Source organism: Homo sapiens, chromosome 8 (genome assembly GCF_000001405.40).
Source record: "Homo sapiens chromosome 8, GRCh38.p14 Primary Assembly".
NCBI lineage: Eukaryota > Metazoa > Chordata > Mammalia > Primates > Hominidae > Homo > Homo sapiens.
Window position 1 is genome coordinate 141,660,706 of NC_000008.11, and position 25,529 is coordinate 141,686,234.

At 56.0% G+C, this 25,529-nt stretch overlaps 2 annotated features.

Annotated features, from left to right (window-relative positions):
- Positions 19,188-20,031: an enhancer, noted in NCBI's record as "H3K4me1 hESC enhancer chr8:142689993-142690836 (GRCh37/hg19 assembly coordinates)". NCBI's record gives its function as "activates a minimal SCP1, AML or CMV promoter by ChIP-STARR-seq in primed H9 embryonic stem cells {active_cell/tissue: H9 hESC(primed)}" and the evidence as "EXISTENCE:reporter gene assay evidence [ECO:0000049][PMID:30033119]".
- Positions 21,481-21,656: a silencer, noted in NCBI's record as "fragment chr8:142692286-142692461 (GRCh37/hg19 assembly coordinates)". NCBI's record gives its function as "represses an EF-1alpha promoter that drives an FKBP-Casp9 reporter gene in an ReSE screen in HepG2 liver carcinoma cells {active_cell/tissue: HepG2}" and the evidence as "EXISTENCE:reporter gene assay evidence [ECO:0000049][PMID:32094911]".

Here is a 25,529-nt window from a genome sequence, read left to right on the forward strand (position 1 = left end):
CTGCTCCTGGGAGGCCCTGTCAGCTCCAAGAGGCTCTTAGAGCAGCCTCATGCAGGGAGTCAGCAAACCTGTGCCTGCTTCTGGGGCCCCAGTTCCAGGGCCCTGGATAAAGGGTTAAGTGTCACTGTTTGGTGCCCTGATCTTGGGTGGGGGAGAAGCTGAGCTTGTCAAGGTTTGGGGAGTGCAGTCCCATGTGTGGGTACGTGGCAGAGGCAGCAGCAGATCGGAGGTTCTGGGGTGCTGATGCGGATCTTGTAGACTCACGTGCTGTGAAGTCAAACCAACCCACTTCAGGTCCCAACCCCAGTCCCACCACTTCCCAGCTCTGTGTCCTTCAGGCAGCTCTCATTACTGAATGGTGACAGGACCTGAGCAGAGGCTGAGATACCAAAGGAGGAGGGTGTGGGGGCTGTGGGGGACCTGGGGGCTGCCTTCTTGGAGCCTGAAATCTGCAGCAGAAAGCAGGTTACATGGTTGTGTTTCAGTCCTCTGCTTATTACCCCCCACAGCGCTTTGCTCTCTCTCCATTACTTAGTTTACTTATTTGTGTGTGCGTGTGTGTGTGTGTGCATACATGTGCATTAGAGTGCATGTGTATATGCTTACTGTCCACCTTCTTTCTGAGAGGGTGACCTCCAGGACAGTTCCAGCTCAGGATGGCTTTCTTCCGAGGCATCCCTGTACCTGTCACAATGCGAGCTCTCCAAATACCAGTAAATGAACAAACTCCAAGAGAAAAAGGACCAAGTCCACGAACAAGTCAATCACCAAGAAAGAACTGAAAACAGCCGGGAGACCACCCATGGACCTTGCCTCTCACATGAGATTCAAGCAACGACATGGTGTCTGCTGTGACTGGTGGTGGTGCAGGGGCTCGTGGTGTGGGGACCAGCACGGGGGCAGCACTGACCCCAACCCCAGATTCCTGGAAGGCAGCTTGGCCCGTGCCATGGAAGGGTTTACAACACTCGCTCCCTTTGACCCAGCCATTTTCTTCTGGTAAAGCCTCATAAAGAAATAGCTGGACGGGAGCCTTCGGCTGTGGATGCAGCTGTGATGGGCTCTGTAAATTATTAGCCACAGTCTGGTGCAAAGCTGGAAATGAACAAATTGTCCATGGACAGAAGGGTAGTGAAGAGAGGATGGAGCAGCCACAGAAGGTACACCAGGCAGCCATTCTGACAGTGTGGATTCGGGTTTATTACTGTGGAAAAATGTCCATGGTGTATATTATCGTGTGTGAGGCAGACCACGGGCAGCACGTCCCAAATGGGGCCACTTTGTAAATTCTCTCTCTCTTTCTCCATCGCTCCAGCTCTCTAGCTGTGCATAAGAATAATACAGAATATGATGCTTAAAAACCTATTTACCAACATTGTAATAGCTCCAGAGGAGGGCGGTGCCAGTGATTTTCCTTCATTTCATCATTCCTTCAGGTGTCGTCTTCATTTTTTATGTTTTTTGCAGTCAATGCTTATTACTTTAATAACCATAAAACTGTTACTTTTCTATTTTTAAGTGGCTCTTCTGTGCTCATTGCTGAAGGCAGAGATCCTGTCTCCAGACTGCACCCTTGACTCGCCTTAAAGGAACAAAGAATCCATTTATGACGTTTCTTGAGCACCTATGAGGCTGGGCGCTGAGCCGGTGGTGTGCACGCGGGCAGTCTCGAGGGCCCTGGGCCCCGGCTCTGCGAAGTTACAGTTACCACCCACATTTTACAGAAAAGAAAAATGCAATTTAGAGAGGCTAGGTGGCCTGCCCAGGGTCACACAGCAGGGACCTCGCCCAGTGGGAAGAAGGGTCTTCTTTCATGTTCCTTTCCCAGGAACATGAGAGAGTCGGTCCATGAAGGATGTGTCGCCATTGAGGGATAGGGGCCTCTGGCCTGGGCCGAGACAGTGTGGCTGGGGAGGTCGTGCTGGGTGTGGGGGATGGGCAGGAATAGGAGGGAGGCTGTCTGAGCCTGGGGCTGGGGAAGGGAGGGAGGTGGAGGCATGGCTGGGGGCAGCGTGGGACCGTGGGAGGGAGCTCGGTGTCCTGGAGGTGAGTCGCCTACACCCTGGGCTGCAGTTTCTCCAGCCGGAACATGGGACACAGCCCTGCCAGGCCTATCTCCTGAGGCTGACCTGAGGACCAGGGGGTGTGACGGGCGGAAGGGGCTGTGAGCAGGATCACAGGGCTGTGCCGCTGGTGTGGTGCATGCTCAACCCTGAGCCAGGGTCCAGCGACCAGCTGTGCCCCCTGAACAGAGAGCACTTGAAATTCATGGCACTGTGCCATGGGCTTAATGTGTATTGACCATTTAATCCTCTGCAAAGAAGATAATGCTATGGTGTCTGTTTTACAAATGAGGAAACAGCCCAGAGAGGCTCAGGGACTGGCCTGATGCCACACAGCTCATAGGTGTCTCTGCTGGCGTGTGTCTAGCACCCTGGCCTCCTGATGCCGTGAGCTCAGAGGAGGGTCAGTGCCATAGAGGAAGTGTGCTGAACGCTCTTGGCCACGTGCCCTGATCTCTCTGGGCTGCAGATGCTTTGGTTGTGAATGAGGAAAGTCAGTCCTCCCCTTCCCCAGATGTCTCAGAGCCTGGAACAGGACATATTGGTAGAACATGGGCCACAGTTACCACAAACTGGGTGGCCCAAAGCAGCAGGAGCTTGTTGTCTCCCAGTTCTAGGGCCAGAAGTCCAAAATCCGAGTGCTGGCAGGGCCGAGCCCCCTCTGAAGGCGGGAGGGGGATCTTTCTTCGTTGCCTTCTAGGTGCTGGTGGCTCTGGCAGTGCGTGGCATCCTGTGGCTTGTAGCCGCGTCACACCAATCTCCACTTCTGCCTTCACATGGCCTTGTTTTCTGTGTCTCTGTGCCCAAATCCTCCTCTCCTTTCATTTATAAGGACACCGGTCATTGGATTTAGGGCTCCCCTAAATCCAGGATGACTTCAAGATCCTTAACCAATTACATCTGCAAAGAACTTATTTCCAAATAAGGTCCTATTCCGCTGTTCTGAGTGGACATGAAGTCTCGGGAGATACTGCTCAACTTGCTATAAGCTCCCCGTGTGTGGCAGAGCCTCCGGGAGATCCTCCTGCCCTGTCTTCATTTGAGAGGAGCTGTTGCATGACTGGAGTGGGAGCTCCCCGCCTCTCTCTGGCCCCCTCAGTTGAGTGACAGGCTGATGGGACTGTCCAGTCTCAGGTGCTGTGTGACAGGAAGATGCCCGTCTTGCCTGGGGCTGGTGGGGAGAGCTGCTGGTCCTGGTCAGGCTGTCCTAAGACTACAGTTCTGGGCTGAGCCTGCAGCCCAGCCTTGCTCAAGGGGGGCTGGATGTGGCCTCCCTGCTGGGGCTGGATGTGGCCTCCCTGCTGGGCCTGGGTCTCCACCAGCCTCAGTCTATACCCACTTCCTCCCATCCATCTCAGCAGGACAGCGGGGCCCAAGCTACTGCTTGGGAAGATGAGGATGAGTCTGGGCTCCCAGGAATCTGAGAACCCCAGGAGGGGAGGTATTAGAAACAGAAGACCCTTCCTTTGAGTTACAGGTGGAGAAACTGAGGCCCAGGTTGGGGAAGCCATTTGCCTCAGCTCATATGAGTCTGTTCACGGTTTACTTATTTAGTGATTGAGCAGACATGTGTCTCACAGCCCTTCCTGGGCAGGCCCATGTCCTCCTGGAGCACACCCCCTGCCGGGGACTCAGACCCAGCTGACACCCCCGGTGTTCGAGGCACCACCAGGAAATCCTTGGCCTGCGTGAGATTTGATCTTGAGGGGAGTCAGGGAGGACTTCACCAAGGAGGAGGCAGGACTCAGGATGAGGCTGGGGATGGTCAGAGCTGGGCAGGTACATCTGAGGCAAGAGAGCATGGGGACCTGGCACTCCCAGTCCCAGCCCTGAGATGCCAGAGGGAAGCATGGGTAGAGGAGGGCCCAGACCTCACTGTGCCCCATAGCAGAGAGGGAGGCTTTGCCCTGGTCCCAACCACAGCCCTTGGGGTGGTCACCTGCAACCCCATGTGACAGATAAGGAAACTGAGGCCCTCAGTGGTGGAAGGGCTTGCCTGAGGTCACACAACCCTTCGGTGACAGAGCCAGGAGCGGAGCTCCAGTTTGCCAGCTGACAACGAGCATGTTCTTTCCACTGAACCACATTTCCTCTTCAAGAACTTTCATTTTTCAGGAGAGACGTGTCACCTCGCCTCCTGGCCAGCAAACCTAACTCTGGAGACACATGCCTCTGTGAGGGTCTTCACTGCAGTGCCCTCCGCCCGGCTGCGATGGCAGCGCTCCAGCCGCCAGTGTCCAATGCACGGCTGCTCTTGGGGGTGGGGGGCAGGGAACTGTCCCTAGCTTAGGCCACACATGGGGAAACAGAGGCCAGGAGATTTTGAAACCTGTCTGTGGCCATGCAGCATGTAAGCATGGGAGGGAGGATCTGAAGACAGGCAGCCAGGCTCCAGAGCCCAAGGCATCCATCCATTCATTCATTCTTTTTTTTTTTGGAGACAGAGTCTAGCTCTGGGGCCCAGGCTGGAGAGCACTGGCATGATCTCGGCTCACACCTGGCTCATTTTAGTATTTTTTGTAGAGATGGGGTTGATTTACGCCGGCTTCTCCAACTCTCATCCATGACCACCTGGATCCTTCCTCTCTTCTTACCTGTGGCCTCTCTCTCCATCTGCGAGAAACCTGCTCCTCCCACTCGTCAACCACTTGCTTGTTCAGTTCTGGTAAACCGTGCAGAAGCTTCATTCCGCCCCCGGAGGGGAATGACCTCGCCAGCTGGAGTCCCGTGCTGTGCACAGCTGCCTTTGCCTTTTGTCTTATGGACGCCACTCACTTCAGAGTAAAGGGCCAGCACCTTTTCCCTTCTCACTTGTCACCGTGGGTTTTGATCATAGATCATCTCTGTTGAAAACTTTGGAAATAAAGGGAAGAACAAGGAAAAAAGTCTAAATCACTGAGCATCACCCCTCCGGGGACCCTCTGCAGCTCCTTGGTGTTCACCCGTCTCTCACTCTTCCATCCCAGCTGTACCCCGAGTCAGTCTCATGTTGCTGGCCACAGAGGAGCCATTCATTCACTCTGAACACATTCTATGATGCTTTATCAACAAACTAGATGTGCGCTCTAGAGAGAAAGCTCCTGCTGTCCTGTGGGGCACCATGGAGAAGCTGAGTGGAGGAGGCTGGAGTCCGGAGGCCATGCACCCCAGCAGGGGAGCGCTGGCCCTGGCTGGGCTGATGGAGTCCTGGTGCTGGCATTCAAGTTAGGACTCTGTGCTGCTCAGTCAGACCTGACAGAGGCCTCCACCAGCTCCTCCCTGCCCCAGGGCCTTGGCACGAGCTGGTCTCCCCCAGGCCTTCCCACGCTGCTGCCTCCCCTTCCTCAGGGCTCAGCTTCGGCTCCTGCTCGCCCTCCACAGGCCCACCTCGAGCCCTTCCTGACCTTGGCGCCTGGTTCACTTCTGTTACAGCCATCGTCTCTGCCCCTGGTGATTTTCCTCACTTCCCTCGCTGCTGCGCTGAGGGACTGGGAGTGGTGATGGGTGACAGGTGCTCCTCAGAGACCCTGGTGCCGGCGGGACGAGCAGGGCTGCCAGCTGCACGAAGGGCCCAAGAACACAGGCAAGAAGCTCGCGAGTTCCCTCTCAGGGCTGGGGCTCTTGGTTTTGATTCTGGGCTCAGTAGAGTGAGTGACTTTGGTTATCGCAGCCTGGGGAGGCAGCTTTATTATTCAAAGGGAAAATTTGCTGAAGTTGCAGTTGGAACTCAGAAAACGGTGAGATCTTTGCTTTTGTTGCATCTCCTCTCCCAATGCCCCACATAAATTTTGGAAGCCTGCTGCTGGGGCTCCTCCCAGCCCTTTGTCCTCCAAATCCCCTTTGTTAACTCCCTGGAAGGGGCCACCCAGGGCTAGGCTCTCGCTGCTCAGACTCACTGGTTGGGGGCCGCAGCTCATCAAAGTACAGAACGTGGACTCCTGGAGACCACTCTCGTCCTGTGCACCACCCCCACCTCCTGTTTTACAGATGGGGATGCTGAGGGCTCCCAGTGAGTCAGCCCCTGACCTGGGCCCTGCTCCTCTAGGCCCCAGTGCCTGGGTTGGAGCAAAAAGAGGGTTGGAGGGAGCCGGTTGTGGCTGGCTTCGGATGAGCTCTCTGGTGGTGTCCCACTCTCACTGTCGTTGTTGTTTTTACTGTGGCTGAAGTGGGCTGCCTCCGGAGACCCCCTCGGCCCTGATGGTGTGAACTCAGGCAGCTGCTCTGCCTCAGGAGGGGTCCCCAGAGAGATCGGGGGCTGACTCCCCGTGCAGTGGGCTCTCCAGGCAGGGCCTCCTGGCCTCTGAGCTCTCCAGCGAAGAGGCCTGAGGGAAAGCTGCTAGGGGAGGCAGGAGAGAAGCTGGGGAGGCAGGATGGGAGTGGGGGTTCTCACACCAGTAGTTTTGCTGGAACCTATTGAGGGATGAAATGGGTGGCCCATTTCAATAACCCTGGGTGGTGATCATTCATTCATTCATTCATTCATCAGCCTGCACTGAGCCCTGCTGTGTGCTGGGCCCCGCTCTAGGTGCTGGGAATGCAGAGAAACCTCTGCCCTCAGTCTCTGCAGCCTGCTAAAGAGAGACGGATGTGAACGGCAAGGAGAACAGTGACAGGGAATCAGGGCAGGGCCTGCTGGACATGGCGAGCCAGGGCCCCGAGACCCCTGTGTTGAAACCGGAGCCCTGAGGTGATGGAATTAAGAGGTGGGGCCTGTAGGAGGTGACTGGGTCAGGAGCACTCCGCCCTCAGGAATGGGACTCCTGATGGGAGGGGCCGAGGAGCTTGTTTGTCCCTTCCACCACGTGCGGTGCCACCTAGAAGCAGAGAGATGCCAAGCCTGCCAACGCCTGGATGTCAGCCTTCCAGCTTCCGGAACAGTCCATCTCTGTGGGTTGTGAATTATTCAGCCTATGGTATTTTTCTTATGTGGCACAAATGGACTAAGGCTGGCACGGTGGCTTTCTGAGAAGGTGGCATTTGAGAAAGGCTGGAAGAGGAGACAGAGCGGTGCTAGGTGCCCCTTGGGGAGCCCACCGGGCAGAAGGAGCCACGTGTGCCAGGGCCTGGGTGGAGCTCAGCTGGGGGACCACAGAGCAGCGCAGGCCAGCGTGCTGGAGCTGAGGAAGCCACAGGGATAGACCGAGGTCAGAGGCAATGGGCCAGGTCCCCTGGGTGCAGCAGGACGTGGGTTTCACTCTGCTTGAGTGAATCAGGAGTGCGTCTGGAGCACAGATGGCGTGACCTGACTTAGGTTGGAGAGGGTGGCCCTGACTGCTCACTGGGGGGATGGCAGTGCAGGCAGGTGGCCAGGAAGCTGCAGCAGGGGCTCAGGTGTGTGTGTGTGTTGGGGGGGATCTGGGTGGCAGAGGCAGGCATGAAACCCAGAGCGAGGAGCCAGGATCTCTGCTCGGCACAGCCTGAGTTCCATTCTCCCACTGTACCCCAGCCTGGGTTCTGTCTGTCCCCCTACCCCCACAGAGTCCTCGCCCCAGGCACTGAGCCGAGCTCCCGTGGGTTAGGTTGAGCAGCGAGTGGAGGCACTGACACATCTACACTCTCTCTCCAGGCCCCCAGCGTCGCAGGATCCTGTAGACACATCAAATCAGACCCCTGGGGTTGGGTCCGTGCCCACAGTCAGACTCCAGCTCAAGTCCAAGCTATGCATTGAGGCAATACCTGGAAAGACAAGACCAGGCGTGCGGGCTGGGGCAGGAGTGGCAGGGAGGGCACGCAGCAGGAAGTGCTCTGGGTTGGGGAGGGGACCGTGGGGTACAGGGTGGTCCTGGCCTCAGCCTCAGGGCCTGGGCTCACACCCCCACTAGGGGCATGCACATTCCAGCCCGCGGGGCATGTGTGGGCAAAAGGCTCCAGGACCCCACGGTGGTCCTACAAAGAGCGGTAGACACCCGCCATCGATGCGAAAGCCCGGCGGAAGGGCGAGCAGAAGTGAGGAAGGGGCTGGAGCAGTGGGTCTTGGGACCACTGGGACAGCTTCTGGTCCCAGTGCCCAGCTCGGCTCTAGGCGGTGCTGCACAGAGAGCAGGGCTCCCCTGGGGCTGTGGGGGAAGAGCTGCGCCCAGAGAGGCTCAGCCCCACGAACCCCGGGACTGTCGGAGCTAGAGGGCTCCAGGGAATACCCATTATTGTCCATTCACCCACTCAGGAAATGGTTGCTGAGCACGTGCCTGTGCCAGGCCCTCTGCAGGGACATGCCTAGGACAAGGCTCTGCTGCCCTGGAGTCTGCTGTCCAGGGTTCCCGCAAACATCCATCCAGCTACCCCCGTGCACTCACCAAGCACCTGTAACCAGAGGCCATAGGATGTCACTGAATCCACAACCATCTGCAGCACCTCTGCACAAGAGTTCAGGGTGCGTGGCCTTGTCTTTATACTCACCTCCCTGCAGGCCGTGAGGTCCCTGTGGCAGGTGCTACCTTATTGGTCTCTGAGTCCCTGGAACCGGACGCATCACAGGTGCATGTTGGGGTCCAGAGGCCACAAGTGTGCTCTTCTGCTCCAACCCAGCGCTTTTTCTATGTGACAGGCTCTCTATGCCTCAGTTTACCTGTCTGTCCTGCCTGCCTCACAGGGACATTTGGGCATGGGGAGGCAGAGAGGGAAAGACACAGCACACAGGGTCTGGTGGTGCAATGGACCGAATGTTCATGTCCCTGCCAAGTTCACAGGTGTAAATCCCAACCCCTGACACGATGGGATCAGGAGGTGGGGCCTTTGGGAGGTGAGGATGTCATGAGGGTGGGACCCTCACCAGTAGGATCAGTGACCTTATAAAAGGGGCCCCAGAGAGCTCCCTCGCCCCTTCAACTGTGTGAGGACACAGCAGGAAGACAGCCACCTGCAACCACAATACACGTCTGTGGCTTAAGCCACCCAGAGTCTACTGCTTTGTCACGGCAGCCAAAGGGACTAGGACAGGAGGCTTGTTTTTAAGTCCTGAGATCTGGTCCTGCAGGCAGTGCCCTGAGCAAACCCTAGAGCTGCTCTGAGCATTTCTCTTCCCTAGAAAACAAGAGGATGCCATTTGTAACATACGCTGGGGCTTAGCGAGGTCCCTCCTGGGATGCCCAGGCCTTGCTGGGCACAGAGGAGACTAGTACCCCACTGCCCACTGCTCCCTGGCCTCGGCTAAGCAGGTGTGGTGTGATGGAGCAGTGTCCTTACAGTGCCAGTTAGCCCTGGGTGAATAGCCGCCGGGATCTCAGCCACGTCCTCACCTTCCCAATAGCCACTGGGCTCTCAGCCGCATCCTCACCTTCCCATCGCGGTGACTCCTCCAGACGGCCGGGAGGGCTTCACATGTGGAGGTGCAGTGGTTCTCCCCAGCCAGCACTCAGGCTTGGGGCACAGGCCAGGCCTGACCTCCCTCACTGAGGGGGGCTGCAGTAGAAAGAGGCTCAAAACAGCAATGATCTGCTGCAGCGAGGTGGCCTTGGTGCGAGGTGGCCCCGGTGGAGCTCTCAGAAATGCCTGCCTTCTTGGACGCACTGACAGTAATGGCCTGAAGAAACCTCCCTGCTCTTCCTCATCCCTGTGGCTGTCCTCTGGGCAGACACAGGACCCATGTTATGGGCCAGGAGTGTGCAAGGAGTGAGGCCTGGCCAGACTCCTGTGGAGAGTGGGACGAGGCCTGCAGGGGCTGACGCCTGTGGGCCTTCCAGGGCGCCTCACTGCCTCCAGGACGGACAGACTCTCGGGGACACACTGAGCCCCCACCCTGCTGCCCCCAACCCCCGCACTCCATGCATGAAGCACTTGAGCCTTTCAAGGTGGAAGGCAGGAGACGGCGGCCCCCAGCAGCCACCCCCGGTGGCCAGCCCCGAGGCAGAGGCTCCTGGCACCTGTTTGCACCATTGAGAGTGAATTATGGCCCAGCCCAGGGCTGGCCAGTGCGATGGAACAGCAAGCGTGCTAATTACCAAATGTCCTGCATGATTAACTAGGAAATTAACAGGCCAAATACTCCCTCTCTTCCTGGCCAGTGCCTCGGAACCCCATAAACACACTGGAATCCAAATGCTGCTGAGTGGCTCAGCTCCAGGCCCATCCATCCATCAGTGCTCGGTGACTCATGGGCCTTTCCAGAGCCCCGTCTCTTATGCCAGGGCCTCATTCCCGAATCCAGGAGCTGGGGCTCAGGGCCCCCTGCTGCTCTTGTCACTGCCCACCCTGGTCCCGGACCCTGTGTCCAGGCCGTGACCTGAGGCCTCAGGAAGACTAAGGTGGAACAGGGGACGGACTTGACCAGGATGGGGCCCAGTTCCCAGCCCGGCTCCCTTTACCCACTGGGTGCCCCTGGGTGCCACCTCCTCTGCCTCCATTTTCTTGCTTGTACAACAGAGGTGATGCTGCCCCGCTGTGGGCCTGCCCTGGGGGTTAGAGCAGAGATGGGTGTGATGTGCGCCACTCACCTCCTGCCTCCTGCTCCAGCCTCCCACTTGCCCGCGGAGGAGTTATTGACCTGGTTGGCCAGAGTCTGAGGCTTTGATTCTGTGTCCTGTGTGTGTGTGGGGGGTGCTGCGTGGGGGTGACCCCATGCTACCAGATGGCAGCAGCAGTTCCCCATCCTCTCACCCTCCTGCTCTCCCTGCCAGGGCTATGAGTCTAGAGGTCCAGCTGCCTTGCACTCAGGGTGGGGAGCCCCATGAATCTGGTCATCCAGCTCTCTTACATTTGGCGTGGCAAGACCCTGAGTCTGGGGCTCCAGCCACCTTGCACTCAGGGTGGGGAGACCCTGAGCCTGGGGTCCAGCTGCCTTGTACTTGGGGTGGGGAGCCCCTGTGGGTTTACCAGAGCACCTTTCCAGTCCTCCTGCCTGTGGGCTCTTTCTCGCCCCATCAAGGGCAGTTGTTGTTCCTTTGGGCTTTATTCCCCCGTGGGCTCTGCTGGGAGGGACAGAGGTGAAGAGGGTGCTGGTCAGGGCTCAGACACAGAGCTCGCTACACTCTGAACGGGAACTGTGGGGCCTGGGAGGCATGGCTGGGCTGTCCGGAAGGACGAGAAGATCAGCACCCAGTCCTAGACTCGCATTTTAAAGCAGGGTAAACTGAGGCTTATGGGGGCACAGGTCAGGCGTCCCAAATTCTGTGCACCCCACTCCCTGTCCCCCATGAGGATGATGGACTGTGATCACAGCACCCCTGGGCCTCATGAACCCCAGTCCTTCATCTCCTGCCTCCCTCTCCTGGGAGGGACAGGCCAACAAAGACAGGCTGTCCCTTGAGGCTGGTTGGCAGGTGCACATCACAGAATGACAGGCAGAACTTGGGGGTCAGAGTCCGACCAGCTGGGTCTCCTGTGCAGCCTCACCACTCACACCCTGGGTGACTGTGGAAGGTGGTTTATCCCTTGGTGCCTCGGTTTAGCCATCTGCAATGTGGGCAAAAGTGCACCTCTCATGAGGTAGTCAATACATCACATTCATTGGGAGGCTTTTCTAAAGTCCTTAGAACAACATTTGGCCTGAGTAAGCGCTTCTGGGGAAGCTGGTCAGGCACACGGGTGTGGGGACCTGCCATGGCTGATGGCAGCAGAGAAGGACGTGGTGTGCTGGAGCCGGCAGGGCAAGAGCAAGCAGGAAGGCACACAGGCAGGCGCCGGAGATGGAGAGGCCTGACGCCAGAGTTACTCGCCAAATGTGTCACATTAGCAGTAATCTGGCCCATTTTTGAGGTCATTTTCTCTGGGGCCCACTTTTGAGCATTTCAAGGATTTTAGTCCACTTGTTCCTCTGCAAATGAATTTCCAGCACGTGAGCTCACTCCAGCCATCCTCGGGGAGGAGTGGGCAGGGGGGTGCAGCATTGGCAGAGGCCCAGCACGACCCCAGGAAGGGATTCAGTAGGCAGTGGGAGCGGGAAGGACACCCCCTCCTCTGCATGGGAGTCCGGGACTGGGGGCAGGCAAACTGGCTCAGCTCCATCTCAACCCTGTCATCAAACTGAATTCCATCAGGATTAGCATTAAGTATATTTAAAAAAATCAGGGCACAGAAAAAGTGAGAATTAAGTAGAATTTAATATTCATCATGCCTGGGGAGAGGGAAGATTTCCTAAGTTTAGAACTAATACAAGGAATCAGGAGAGAAAATATGGACAGATTTGACTGCATAAAAATGAAAATCTTCTGCAAGTCAAAATTAAACCATCAAATAAAGTGGCAAAAATAATATGGCCTGGGAAATATATTTGTAGCAAATATGACAAAGGCTTAATTTCCTTATTAAATAAAGACCTTATAAGAATTTCTGTAAAGACATGGAAATGCATATGATATAAAGTTCAGATTGTTTTTAAGAGGGAAGGGTTTATTCAAATGCTGAAAGCTTTGTACGTGGAGGAAAAGCTGATTGCAGAGCACCGTGAAGATGAGAATGATTTCGGCGGGTGGTAGGACTGGGAGTGATTGATCTATTTTTTTCTTGGTATTTTTCTGGATTTTTCAAATTTTCTTTAAGGAGTATGTTTTGTCTAAAAATATGATATGAGTCCATTAATATCTTGTGATCTATTGTTATTTTTATAATAATTCTTAGTAATAGCCACCATTTAAGCGATTGCTATGAACAAAACATTTTCTGCACATCATCTCATTTAATCCACACAATGCCCATGGGAGGTACTTATTATCCACATTTTAAAGATATGAAAACCGAGGCTCAAAGTGGTTAAGGACTCCAGCTAGGCACAACAGCAGGATAAGGGGGAGAGCTGGGTTTGCATGCGAGGCCCCGGCCCCGAGCTGTCCAGGAGGATGAATGGTGCCCGGAGCGGAGGGTCCCTCTGCAGCCCCATGGCACCTCCGTGCGCATTCTGCCCAAGAGTGCAAACCTGCCTCACCGGGAAGAACCCCAGTGTGTGCTGACGGGCCGAAGGAACTCTGTCACTTGGGAAGGGCGGTGTGGAAAGAGCTAGAAAAAAAAAATTGGCCGCTCCAGGGGCTGAGATAACTTGGGAGGAATGGCGGGAGGCGGTGAGTGAGCAGCTCTCCACGTGTGACAAATGCTTATTAGAAATAAGAAAACAAGGCAGAGGTATTCTTAGACTAATTGACTCAAAATCCTTGAACTTGAAAAGTTGGGGGAAAAATAACAGAGAAAAGATGCAAAAACACTGGGAAGCAGCTAAACTCATCATCCTGGGATAGCACGTGCTACATTTAGAGCATTTTCATTATAATTGTGCTATTAAGGTGGAGGTGTCCTTAGACGAATTGTCTAAAAAAGTCCTTGAAAAGCTTCAAATGAAAACAAACTCGGGGATAAAAGGGCTCAGAAAGAAAGCCCTGTGTTGATACAGATGGGCCCTGTCCCCTCCGGGTGTGGAGCCCGGCATACTCTGTGGCTCAGAGATGGAAACGCCTCTGGCCTGTCTGCCAGGGGCTGCAGGGAGCTGGGAAAGTCAGTGGGTGTGGCAGGTGATTAGAGCAGAGGGTCGACCACAGGTGGGTGGGCGGGGGGTGACATGAGTCCTCTCTGGGAGCACAGGAGGCCTCCCTGGAGGAGGCATTTGTGGCCTTTGACTTTGTAGTCAAAGGAGTCCAAAAGTTTCTCCTAAAAATCCCAGTGCCTTTGGGAAGCTTGAAGGAAAGATGCAGAAATTAACAAATGCACAGCCAGTGGGGGAAAGGGGGCAGTTGCTATGGTTGTTATTAATGAAGAAAAGAAACTCTGACTTCCTTCATCTTCTTGAAACACTCCTCTGAGGAAGCTCCTGTTGTCCCCACTTCGCAGATGAGAACACCGAGAGTCAGAGGGGATACAGAGCCCAAGGCCCCACGGATTTCCCAGCTCTCATCTCTATGGCTGCAGGCGTGTGGTTCCTTGCCTGGCCCTTAAGCTAGATTTGCACCATGCACTCAAAGCATTTTGCCAAATGAGGGCAGAGGTGGGTGGGTAGATGCCTCCTCTTTCGAGGCTCGGGCTCTCTGGTTCTTCCTGCTTGTTGTGCTGGGTTCCCTCCTTTGGTCTGACCTCAGGAACTCAGCACACTGACAGACAACGGTGCCTGAACACTCATGGTGTGGGGCCAGGCCTGATTCAGGTCCTCGTCTGGTATCTGCATGCAGCTGGCGCCCCTTAGACGTTTTTTGAACAACCAGAGCCAGAGGACAATGCATGGCAGCTGGGAGAAAACTTTGGTGTGGGTGCCCCTGACTCCAGTTAAAATTAACTGAGGTTGCAGTCGCGTGTTCCAAAAATTTCAGTTCAACTCAATTCATCTCATTCGTCGCAAATTCTTCCAATTCCCTCCATTCAACTCAATCCCAGGCCCACAGCTAGCTCCTTCCAATTTTTACTTTGACTCCTCAATTCAATTTATTTTAATTTCATTCTATTGGATTCCTTTCGTTCAATTCGATTTTCTTTCTTCAGTCCAGCTAAATTCAATTCCTTCAATTCATTTCAATTGCCCTCAGTCCAGTTTTTTGACTTTAACCAGATCCTGGCAGTTAATCCAACTTCAGTCAATTTTTCCAATTTGACCCAAACCCCATTCAGCTCACCTTGGGCCCTCCAGCTCCTTCCTGGGCGCCCTCACTGTGTGAATGATCTCAATTCTGTCCTGGGCACCTTTAAGCACCTGAGCCCTGCGGGGCACAATCCTCCAGGATGTGTGACGAAGAGGCTTCCTCCTGGAGAAGGATCTGGAAAAAAAGTTATACACACACACTTGCTATGGGCAATGCTGTTGCATGTCTGTCAGTTCCTGTTCTTTGCAGGACAACTCCGAGAGAAGGAGGTTCATGTTATGGTCATGATCTCTGTTGTGCAGGAGTGGAGAAGGAGGCACACAGGTTTTACAAGCAAACTAGGCCTTAGAGAGAAAGCCTTCAGGTCTTGAACCTGGACTGTTTCACAGTGAAGCTTTTGCTTGACATGTGCATGAGAAAACGATATTCTAATTTGGTCAATGAATTTGTTCAATAATGTTAAGTGATTACTATGCATAATCAATGTTCCAGGCAGTGCAGATGTGGTGGTGAGGGAGTGAGCCATGGTCCTATCCCTAGGTTCCTATGGCTCAGGGTGGAAGGTGGCAGGTCACATGGGCAATGTGTACTTGCTCCCATAGCACAGGTTGGGCACCCCCAGCTCCAGTCGGGGGGGCAGGAGAGGCTTGCAGGAACTGGTAGCACCATGTCTACACAGACAGAGAGTGGATAGAGAGTGTTGTGTAAGAATAACTGAGTCATGACCTTTCTTGGGCATCTAGAGTTGACTGTCTCCTGGAATCACATCCTTGCTTGAGCCTGGAGCATTTCACTCCTGCTCATGGGAGAAAAAGTGACCAGAGCCACAACCACTTCAGCTTCAGACTTTGTTCTGAGCAGTGTTCCCTGCTTCAATTAGTGCCACACCCCACCCGCTTCCTAACTGATCCTTAATGTCAGACTGGCTACCATGGCTTCAGCCCCCATAGAGATAACCCTTGAGTCCTTCCGGATTTGCTGACTTCAGCTGCTCTGGAGAAATCCCCTGCCCACTGCGATGGCCATTCCACGTTTTTACCTTCCTAGCTGAGTTCTGGTCTCCCAAAAGCAGTAGGACTTTGACAATTAGAAATATATGCTAACAGGATAATCCAAGAAGTGGAAACAAAGGCTTGGAGGTCAATGAGGATACATGGAAATGAAATGAGGGCAATGGGAAGAAGGGGACTGAGGAGTTAGAGGAAGTTTGGGGACATCTGCTTCTCCTGTGGGAGGCATGAATCCAGGGCAGCATTAAGGGGGTTGTTTGTGACCTCCGCCTTCCTTTTACATCCACTCAGCATTTATTCAGTTCTCTCTGCCTCAGGCACACTCACCCCCCAGCATGGAGGACCTGGCTTCAGAACCACACCTATGGACAGCGCTCTGGCCCTGGGCTGCCTTTTGGCCTCCTCGGTATCCCCTTGGCTCCGTTTCAGCTGGAAGCACCCATTGATCTGCCAGTGCTGCCGAGTCCTTCCAGAGAGAGAGGCAGAACCGAATTCAAATCCAAGTCTAAGTGCTGCTGTGACGTTGACCTCCAGCTCCTTACCTGGCACAGAGGGTGCCTAAGAGGAGGTAATGGAGTAACATCCATCAGGTGCTTGACAAAGAAAAGGGATTCAACAGCTGTTAGTGTCTTCCTCCTAAGTAGCATGTTTCAGTTTTACCAGGGATTCCCAGCGCCTGAGCCAGATGGTCGAGGGGCAGACACCACAGCAAGCTCGTGGGAGAGTTTGTCTTCAACAAGCTCCACACTGTGGCTCACCTTAGTGGTAAACAGGAAGGGTCTTCTGTTTTGACACATCCCTAGGTCTTTTCTGGGCAATGAAATAATGTAACAGCTCCTTATCCCCAGGGCATTTTTGTGTTTAATAGTGCATTCTATAAGGCAATGCTTGACTCAAGGAATGGAGAATTAATGATGGGATTTCACAGTGTGACAAGACACTGGGGAACACGGCCCATGGGGCAACTGGCTTCTGCCGTCACCTTGTTCAGTGGCTGCCCACCCATCTGGGACTGAGGCTGGGCTCTTTTGAGAGTAAGTGCTCATGCTACACAAGAGGCTTGGCTAGATCCCCAGGTGGAGAGAAACAGGTATCTTCCTGGAACTCATCAGGAAGCCCTCCTACCAAGGCTGCTGTTTGATTATGGCAGTGACAGTATCCCAGTGATAATGTTAAACTTTAAATTCTACCACATCCCCTACCTCAGCCCCTGGATGTTGGGGGCATTCTGTCTTGTCCACTGATTTTATCTCCTGTGCCATAGATTGGCTGTGTGTGGCTGCCACCCATGCTAGCTTTCAAGGTGGCCTGGGAGGGGCTGAGGTCCATAGCCTGCATGACACATGCTCCATCCCCATTGAACTTGTCTACAGACCATGAGGGAGATGGCTTTTCCTCTAGGGAAGTCCAGACCAGCAGGCTATTTAAACACAAGCAGTTCCAAAAAGTGGTTGGCCAGGAACACACTCTGGGCTTTCTCCTGCTCCTCCTGGGGCTGTCTGTTGGCCCTTCAGTGAGGAGGCCCAGAACCTGTGATCAGCTTTTGCTCCTAATTCAGCAGTTTTCTCCATTCCCACGCCTGCAGCTCTTCCCACCCACCCTTTCACTGCAGGCCAGCGGGCTCATTAGAAGCTGGGACTTAAGCACCTTGCCTCTGTGTACAGCACCCAGGCTATTGAGCTGTGCCACCTTTCTATGGCCATTATGGGCACCCAATGGGCCATCAGCAGCCCCTGTGCAGCAGCCACTGCACTGGGCACATCAAGCCTACCTGCCATATGCTTTATTCCATGGGAAGACAATAGGGGCAGACCCTGTAATTTCCATCTTATGGGTCAGGAAGCTGGGGCTCTCACAAATAAAAAGAGAGGTCCAGCCTCTTCTGCAGGAAAATGGCGGCATTTACAAAGCTCTTTCCAGAGCAAACCACAGCTGTCTCAGTGATGGGTCCGAATGGCCCTTGGAGGTTTGAGAAGAGGGTGGGATGAGGGGCGGAGGAGAGCTTAGAGCTCAGGGCAGATGCCTGGTCAGGAACACACAGATGGGTTCTGACAGGGGCATCAGGCATGGAGCAGGGAAAGAGGGGCTCTGAAACCAAATGGGATATGATAATTTACCTGCAGTCTTGGTGCTGTGCAAAGGGGGATGAGAATGCTAGCCATCCCCGGGGGCAGCTGTGAGGATGAGAAGGAAGGGAGTGTGACCTGTGCTCCATCTGGCTCTGACACTGTCGAGAGCTGCCCATTCTGTCTCCAGGACCTCGGTCCTTGCAACTGAGTGGATGCCATGGGAGCTCCAGCCAATTCTCACTGGAGCCTACCCACTGTCTATAGTTGATTGGTGCAGAGATAGCCGCTCAACCCAAACTGGGCCAATCAAAGTGCTTCTCTGGGATTTCCTGTTAATAAAGGTCAGACTCTGGACCCTTATTTGAGCTTCAATGTGAACTTTCAGTCCTGTTCTTCACCAGATGGTGAGAGATTGAGGCTGAGATTTGGAGGAAAGCAGAGGGGAGAGAGAGTGTGCTCAGTGGCAGTACTCATGAGGCCCCAGGACTTACTGAAGCCTAAAGTTTCTGATGTTTTGAGGTCTCCCCTGCCCTTCCAGTTCCAAGCCCTCCCCTGTCATGTTCCATTGTATGGACACTGGCTTCTTCCTGATGTTTCCTTTGTGCTTTTTCTTGTTGTCCATCTGTCCCCTTGTCACCTCCATTTTGCCAGCTCTGGGAATGCCACCTGCCCCCTGTAGGCTCCTAATATGCACATTTTACAAAGAGGAATGCTGAGCTTCCTGGGGGCTGATCATGTAGCCTTCCTGGGATTCTGTAGCCAATAAGTGAGCGTTTGTCTTGTTTCTGCGCCTTGCAGCCAGAACCCTGAAGAATGCCAGTGTCTGTGGTCTTGGGAAAGTCTCTTCCCTTCTTTGGCTGCGTCTGTCCTTCCTGCAAAGCAGGAGGAGATGGTAGCACTGCAAAGGTAATGGCGAGGCCTGGGAGCGTGCCAGCCCCTCCCGATGCTCTCAGGGGAAGAGCCAGGCGTAGGAACCCTTGTAGGGTGGGAGGTGTGGATGCAGACCTTGGATCTGGAGCCACCCCTCCCAAAACACATGCAGGGATGTTAGGCACAGTGTTCAACCTCCCTTGGTTTCAGTCTGGAAAATGCAGGATTTGATGAGGCCAGTCGTTGGCACCCCACATGGAACTTCTCTAGTAATCTCAGCTGATATTCTTCCTGCTCACAGTACACAGTGTGTGCAGTTCCTCCATGTGCATAACTCATAAATCCCAACACCAGTCTGGAATGAACCCCTGTGGGAGGTCTGACCCTGGGCCAGGCCACACACACGCACCGTTCATGAGCCTCACTAGAACTCTGGGCAGAAAAGCGCTTCTGCAGATGAGGAAACTGCAGGTTGGGGAGGTTCCTTGCCTTCCCCAAGTCACAGAACACGTTTGTGGTACACCCAGGCATCATGCCGTGGTTGGTCTAACTCTTCAGCTGGTGCTTGGGCCTTCCATGACCTACTCCACTCTTCTTGCGAAACCTGATGACATCATTACATGTCCCCTATGAGGCCATCTGGTTGTTATAGGGAGGATGATCCAGGCTAGAGAGGTGAGTTCACAAGGTGGATGTCACACAGCAAGTTGGGCAGGGAAGGGTGAGGTACTGGGTACAATCCTGCTCTCTGGAGTCCCCAGATGCTTCCTTCAGCTCACGGGGGCTCAGCACAGCCCCATAAGGCAAGTGGGGGGTGCAGAGTGTCCACAGTGGGGGAGACTGTTCCCACTGTCAGGCCTCGTGCTGGTGTGTGTGTGAGTGACAGAGCTAATTTCCCAAACACCATCTGAGCTGAATGCATGTGGATGAGGATGATGGTTTTAACATTTTAAATTAGAAAAAAATTACATTTTTCTCCCCTGCCAAAATAAAGATGAGAAGTCAAATGGATCTGGTTTGAAAGGGGCTGGAACCAGGGAGCATGTTCCTGCCAGACTCTCTGTTGAGCAAACAGACCGGGAGCCAAGCGTTGCCTGGCGGTTAGTCCCTGCGACCCCTGGCTGCCCGGTTCTCTGCAGCGTGGGGCATGACAACTTCCGGGAGCTGTGGGGCAGGCAGGCTCAGGCTGGCATCTGCAGGTCTCCTGCAGCTGGCTAGGCTTGGTGGCATCCAGCTCCTCTCCTGGGATGCAGGCTTGCTCCGGTCTTCTTTGAGGAATTTCCATGGGACCAGTGAAGGCAGGCAAGCACCTCAGGGCCGGACGCCCTACCCCCGGGATGCAGCTGCTGTCTCTGCTATGACTGTTTCTGTCTGCCCCACGGGGATCCCTTTCTCCTGCTCTGGGGGCTCCGTCCTCGGCAGTGCTCCGATTTGGGCTCCATGTTACCCGCTGTTTGCTGTGCTGGGTTTTCCCAGAGTGGGGCCCGGCATTGTTCTTCTACACCGCATCTTTGAGAGACCCTTTCAAGGTTGTCACCCCAAACCACAATTGGGGAGACTGAGGCCCATGGGCCTGACTGGAGGTGCTGTGGCCAGCACAGAGGACTCCCTTCCTGTGCAGTCAGTCAGCCAGGGAGGGGCCAGGGGGCTGCACTGTGATCAGGAGACTTGCAGGGCCCCTCCCCACTCCAGGCACTGTGTCTGATTCCTGGAGAAAGAGCAGTGAGTCCCCTCCCTCAGCCTTTGCTGGCCTGGGGGCTGCTGTTCCGTAAGAAGCCACTGCAGTGGGGCAGAAAGCACCACATGTCCCCTTGGCCCAGGCCGCTGCTTCCTTTCTCCTGTAATCAGCAACTGCTCTCCAGCAGGACTCGCAGGCAGGGGCACGGGACCCTCCTGAAAGGGCTCCTCTGCAGGAGGCTTCCTCCCATCCCTGGCCTCCCGCCACACCTCTGCACACATTTGAATCGGCGTTGTCTGCTCTGCTGTGGCCTCGGTCAGGTCAGCTCCTGGAACGGTGCGAAAGAACAGCGTGGGCAATGTATTCTGGGCGACTCCCAGCCAGGACCTCGGAAAGCCAGTCCCTGGGCCCCTGCCCCATCAGGTGTTGCCTCCTCGGTCTCATTCTTGGGCCTCGCTCCTGTCCCCCAGCACCCCTAGGTCCAGCGGAACCCATACCTGCTTGTTTCCCTGCCCTCCGTCCCCTGCGGGCTCCCACCCCAGGCCTCCGAGACCCCAGAGAGGAATGGGGCGATGGAGAGGGCCGTGCTGGGAGGAGGGGGTGATGGGGGAGGAGGGGCCAGGACTCTGAGCAGAGGGGAAGCAGAGACGGGGAGGCTGCGTGCGGCCACAGCACAGGAGCCAGGAGCAGACTCTGCAGAGGGGAGACTGATGGCAGCACCCAGGGCGGGTGGCCCCAGCAGCAGCTACCAGCCCCAGTGTGGGCCCAGCCCCCATGACAGAGCGCTGCTGGTGGCCTGCCTACTCCAGCCCCACCTGCCATGGGCTGTCAGTCAAGGCAGGGCTGTCTACATGCTATCGAGTATCAGGTGGGAGGAAGGGAGTCTGGGGCAGGGGCCACTGGGGGCACTTACAGGTTTGGGCTCTTGACTGAGACTCTGGGTGCTCCCAGATGACCTCTCCGGGTGAGCCTGGGCACATGTGGCACAAATTGCCTCTAAGCTCTGCCAGCTCAGAACTCTCTGGGCCAGAATGCGATGGGCCTCAGCCCCTGAGAGAGGGCGGCGGGGAGAAACTTCCCCCGCACTCAATCCCATCTCTCTGCTTCCCTTCAAGTGGGGGCAGTGGCCGTGGCTCCCTGCAGCTCCGCAGTGCAGCTGGGCCTTTGTTTGCAGCTCTGGAGAAAGGGGAGACACAGGATAGTGGGGGTGGCCTAGCCCCAGCCCCGCCCAGGGGCCTCTGAGAGTTGAGCCTGGGCTGCATTCTCAGCTGCACTCAGCTGGACTGCACTAGACGGCAGACACCAAAGCGATCCGAGCTCTCCCCCGTGCCGGGGCCGCCTCCTCCCTCACAGGCCGGGTGTGTGTTAGTTTCCTCGGGCTCCGCCAAGCACCACACACAGCGTGGCTTTCACAGCAGACGTCTATTGTCTGGCAGCGGTGGAGGCTGGAAGTCTGAAATCAAAGTGTGGGCAGGGCTGTGCTCCCTCCAGATGCCAGGGGAGGATCCCTCTGCCTCTTCCAGCTTCCATCAGCGCCTGCTGCCCCGGCATGCCTCTGCCCCTGCCCCGGCCCCTACCATTCTTGAATTCCCTGCCCACCCTTCTGTCTTCTTGACCAGACGTGGAGCTCCCTGAGGGCAGGGACTGGGTCTTATTATATCTCCTCAAGCTCGGCCTGGTGCTGCAGCCCAGGAGTGTCTGTCGGATGAGCGGGTGATGGATTTGGTGAGAGAGAGATGGGGAGTGACAGGCTCAGACGTGCAGGTGTGGGGGTGGCCAGGGCGCACTCTGGGACATTTCTGGAGGATGAGGGTTAGCACCGGGACTTGGGCTGCACCGGTTCAGGAGGCCCAGAGGGAGACAGGGCACTCAGAGCAAGGGCAGCTCTACCAAGGTGAGCAGCAGAGAGGCCGTTCTGAGGCTGGTGCTGAGCTGGGGCTTAGGGTGGGGAGGCAGGGAAGGCAGGAGATGCAGCTTGTGAAGGGTGGGCTGGATGTGGCGGGGGGCACGGGAGCTGGGAGCAGTTCAGTCACTCCAGCGGCCTGCACGTGTGGGACCAGGGAAGAGGAGCCTGCTGGCTTGTGCGGACAAGGAGGAGGGGGCTGTGATTCTGCGGGTGGGAGCAGGGGTGCGCAGGAAGCCACTCTCCCTCCTTCCCTCCCTCTTCTCGCCGATTACCCTCAACTGCGGGTCAATCTCACTGTAGAAGATGGCCCTGCCCTCTCCATGGCCTGGGGAGACTGAGGGGTTTCATAAAAGGGTTTGCTCATTTGTGACTTTAATCCTCAGCTGTGATTTTATCTCCGCACAAGAAAGCTCTTTCTGTTCATTGATTCCACGCAGGCATTAGCTGGAAAGCCTCAGCTATTGGCTCCTGATGGCACCAAAGTTACCCATCGACTCTGGCTCTCGGCCACAGCACAGGGGCTGGGGACTGGGGGCTGGGGGGTGAGTAACTGAAGTGCGGAGAGGTGCACCCAGCCGCTCCCAGGTCCCCGGCAAAGTCCTAGCTGTCCCTGCAGCTTCCCCCTGGAGCAGATGCACCACACCCAGCCCTGCTGTGACAACGTCCTGCGTTCCTCCCTGGAGCCCAGAGGTTGTGCCTCGAACCTCGGAAGGGCCCTGGCTGCCCCTGCCTTATGGGGTTTCCCCTTTCCCATTGGCCACAGGGCTATCTTCCCGCAATGGGAACCCTGAGACTATGTGCTCTGGGAAGCCAACCTGGGGGTGGACGGCAGATGACCACCCCTTTGCCTGAGAGGCCCAACTCAGAGCGCCCCCGTCTTCTTGAACAGGTGTGGGCTGCACTGGTGGCTCCTAGAGCTGGCGATCCTTCATATTCAGGAACACTGCAAGCTGTGGCCAACACTGACTTCCTGGAATCAGCCAACGTGGGAGCCTGGACACTGCAGAAATTGGCAAACCACACAGCCGAGCGCTGCCCTTCTCCTTCCCAGAGGAGCAGCTTCCCAGCCCCGCACCGTGTTTACCCTGCATGGTCACCGGGTTGCCACCGGCAGACAAGGCCCTGCCTCCCCCTTGAGCACACAGGCCATCGAGACTCCCTTCTCAGGAGCCCCAACTGGTTTCCCGCCACTACGGACCCCTGAGCTTCTCTCCTGGAAGCTCCAGGGTGGCGGCTGCCTGGCCTTCAGAGACACCCACTGCCTCAGACCAGGCAGCCTGACTTGGAGACCCTTCCCCATAGGAGCTGGGCTCCCCTTCAGCCTGCACAACCCACCCTTCACACCCAGTGGGAAGCCCACCCTCCTTGGGGAAGCCCACCCTCCTTGGGGAAGCCCTCTGCAGCCTGGCAGGAGGCCTTTGCTCCCTGGGTCCCCTCCTTGGGTCTCCTTCCCCAGGTCTCCTTCCCCAGGCTGTCCTGGGGCCCAGCTCTGTCTCTCACCTGGCGGTGTGGGCCTCGAGGGCTGGGCCTGTTGTGGGCCAGACCCCACCTGTTGGAAATGCAGCCACCACAGTGCTCAAACAGCTGACCTTGTGCTTCCTTCATGTGGAGGGAAAAAGACCTGGGGGCAGACCACTAACTGAACCAGCGTCATTTATGCAGAAAATGCATCCCTCTTGCCATTCCTATTTGCCCAAAGATATCCTGGAAGGGGGTCTTAGAGGCCAGCTGAATCCCTGTCCGAAGCAGGGGGTCAGAGAGAGATCTGCCCCAGCTGCAGAGCACGTGGCCTCCCAGTACGAGAAGTGGGGTGGCTGCACCCAGCACAGTGGGTACAAGGAAGTTGGAGCCACTCTGGACCACACTGGCCACAGCCTGATCTGCGCATTGCCCGGGCCCTGAGCACCTGGCCAGGTGCTGAACTCCTTTGGGAACTTCAGGTCTGATGGAGAGGTGCTCCGTCCACTCTGCCCAGTGTCTGCCCTCTGCCCAGACGCCCCAAAAGCAGCCGCAGAGAGAAGGCGAACTTTGGCTTCGGGGGCCCAGTGCCACCACTTCCGATCTGCGTGGCGGTGGTCAAGTGGCCTGGCTTTGCCGAGCCGCTTCCTCATGTTGCACGTGGGGATGACGGAGCCGCCCTCCAGGAAGCTCCAGGGATTCATAAGACCAGGCGTGCCAGAGCTGCAGGTCTCAGCAGCTGATCACTAAGTGCTGGTGCCTGCTCACAAGGGACAGCTGCCCACCAGCTCTGGGCCATGGCTGGGGGCTCCCGCCCAAGCCCTGGGCAACTGATGATACGTTGCTGACCGCAGGCAAGCCTCCCTGCCAGCCCTGCTGGCCTGCATGGGACCAGGGAAGGAGGGTGAGGCCTATATTTATCTGCAGTGTGAGGAGGCTTGTCTGGCAGTCAGATGCAAATGCCTTCATCCCATCTAGGCTGGTTGCTGCTCACAGCGGACAAGTCTTTCCCGCCTGTTCCACACCAGCCTGGTGCCAGTGACAGGGGTGGCGGGAGCTTCACAGTGCCTGGAGGCTCGTTCCTGGGCTGCGAAAGCGCCTGAGTGACGGAGGCTCAGGCTGAGCTTAGGCGAGTTTACTGAGGCTTAGGAGGAAGCCGGATCAGAAGAGGCTGCAGAAACCATAATGCCCACACATCCCTGCCCCAGCGGCGGCCCACAGGTGCCTGGCCTCAGCTCAGCTACACTGGAGGGGAGGTAGCCAGCACCCTGATGGTGTCTCGGTTCTAAGACCCCATTTACACAGTGGAAAACAGGAGGCAGCCGCCCAGCGACCTCTGCCCTTCAAAGGCTCCAAGAGAAGCAAAGGGACAGGTGTAAGGAAGTAAGCCCTGACCCTGGAGACTCAACAAGCCCTGATGAAGTTAGACGAAGTTACAAGCTGGGCCCTGACCCTGGTCACACACTAAGCTCTGACCCTGGTCTCAGACTGAGCCCTGATTCTCATCACTGAGTCACTAAGTCCTGATCCTGGTCACATGTCGAGCCTCGACCTTAGTCATACACTGAGTCTTGACCCTGGTCACAGGCTGAGCCCTGACCCTGGTCACACACTGAGCCCTGATCCTGGTCACACACTGAGCCCTGACCCTGGTCCTCAATCAGCTGAGCCTTGATCCTGCTTCCTGATTGGCTATGAACTGTTCCAGTGTGGAAGGGAGAGGCCAGGGCATGAGGTGGGACTCGCTAGGGCAGCCCCTCTGCACATCTGGGACTCAGGTCAGAACACAACCCTCCCTACATGCGAGAAGAAGTTCCTGCAGGTGGCATCTTTCAGGTAGCTGTGCTTTAAGCCTGCGCTGGGCTTGCCCTCCGGTGACAGCAGCAGCTTTCAAGGAGGCAGCCATGAGACAGTCCCTCAGGCTGGGGGCTTGATCACGCTCACCTCAGAGCCTCACCTCCTGGGGAGTGAGCAAAAGTGAGAGTCATTAACCCACTTTACAGAGGAG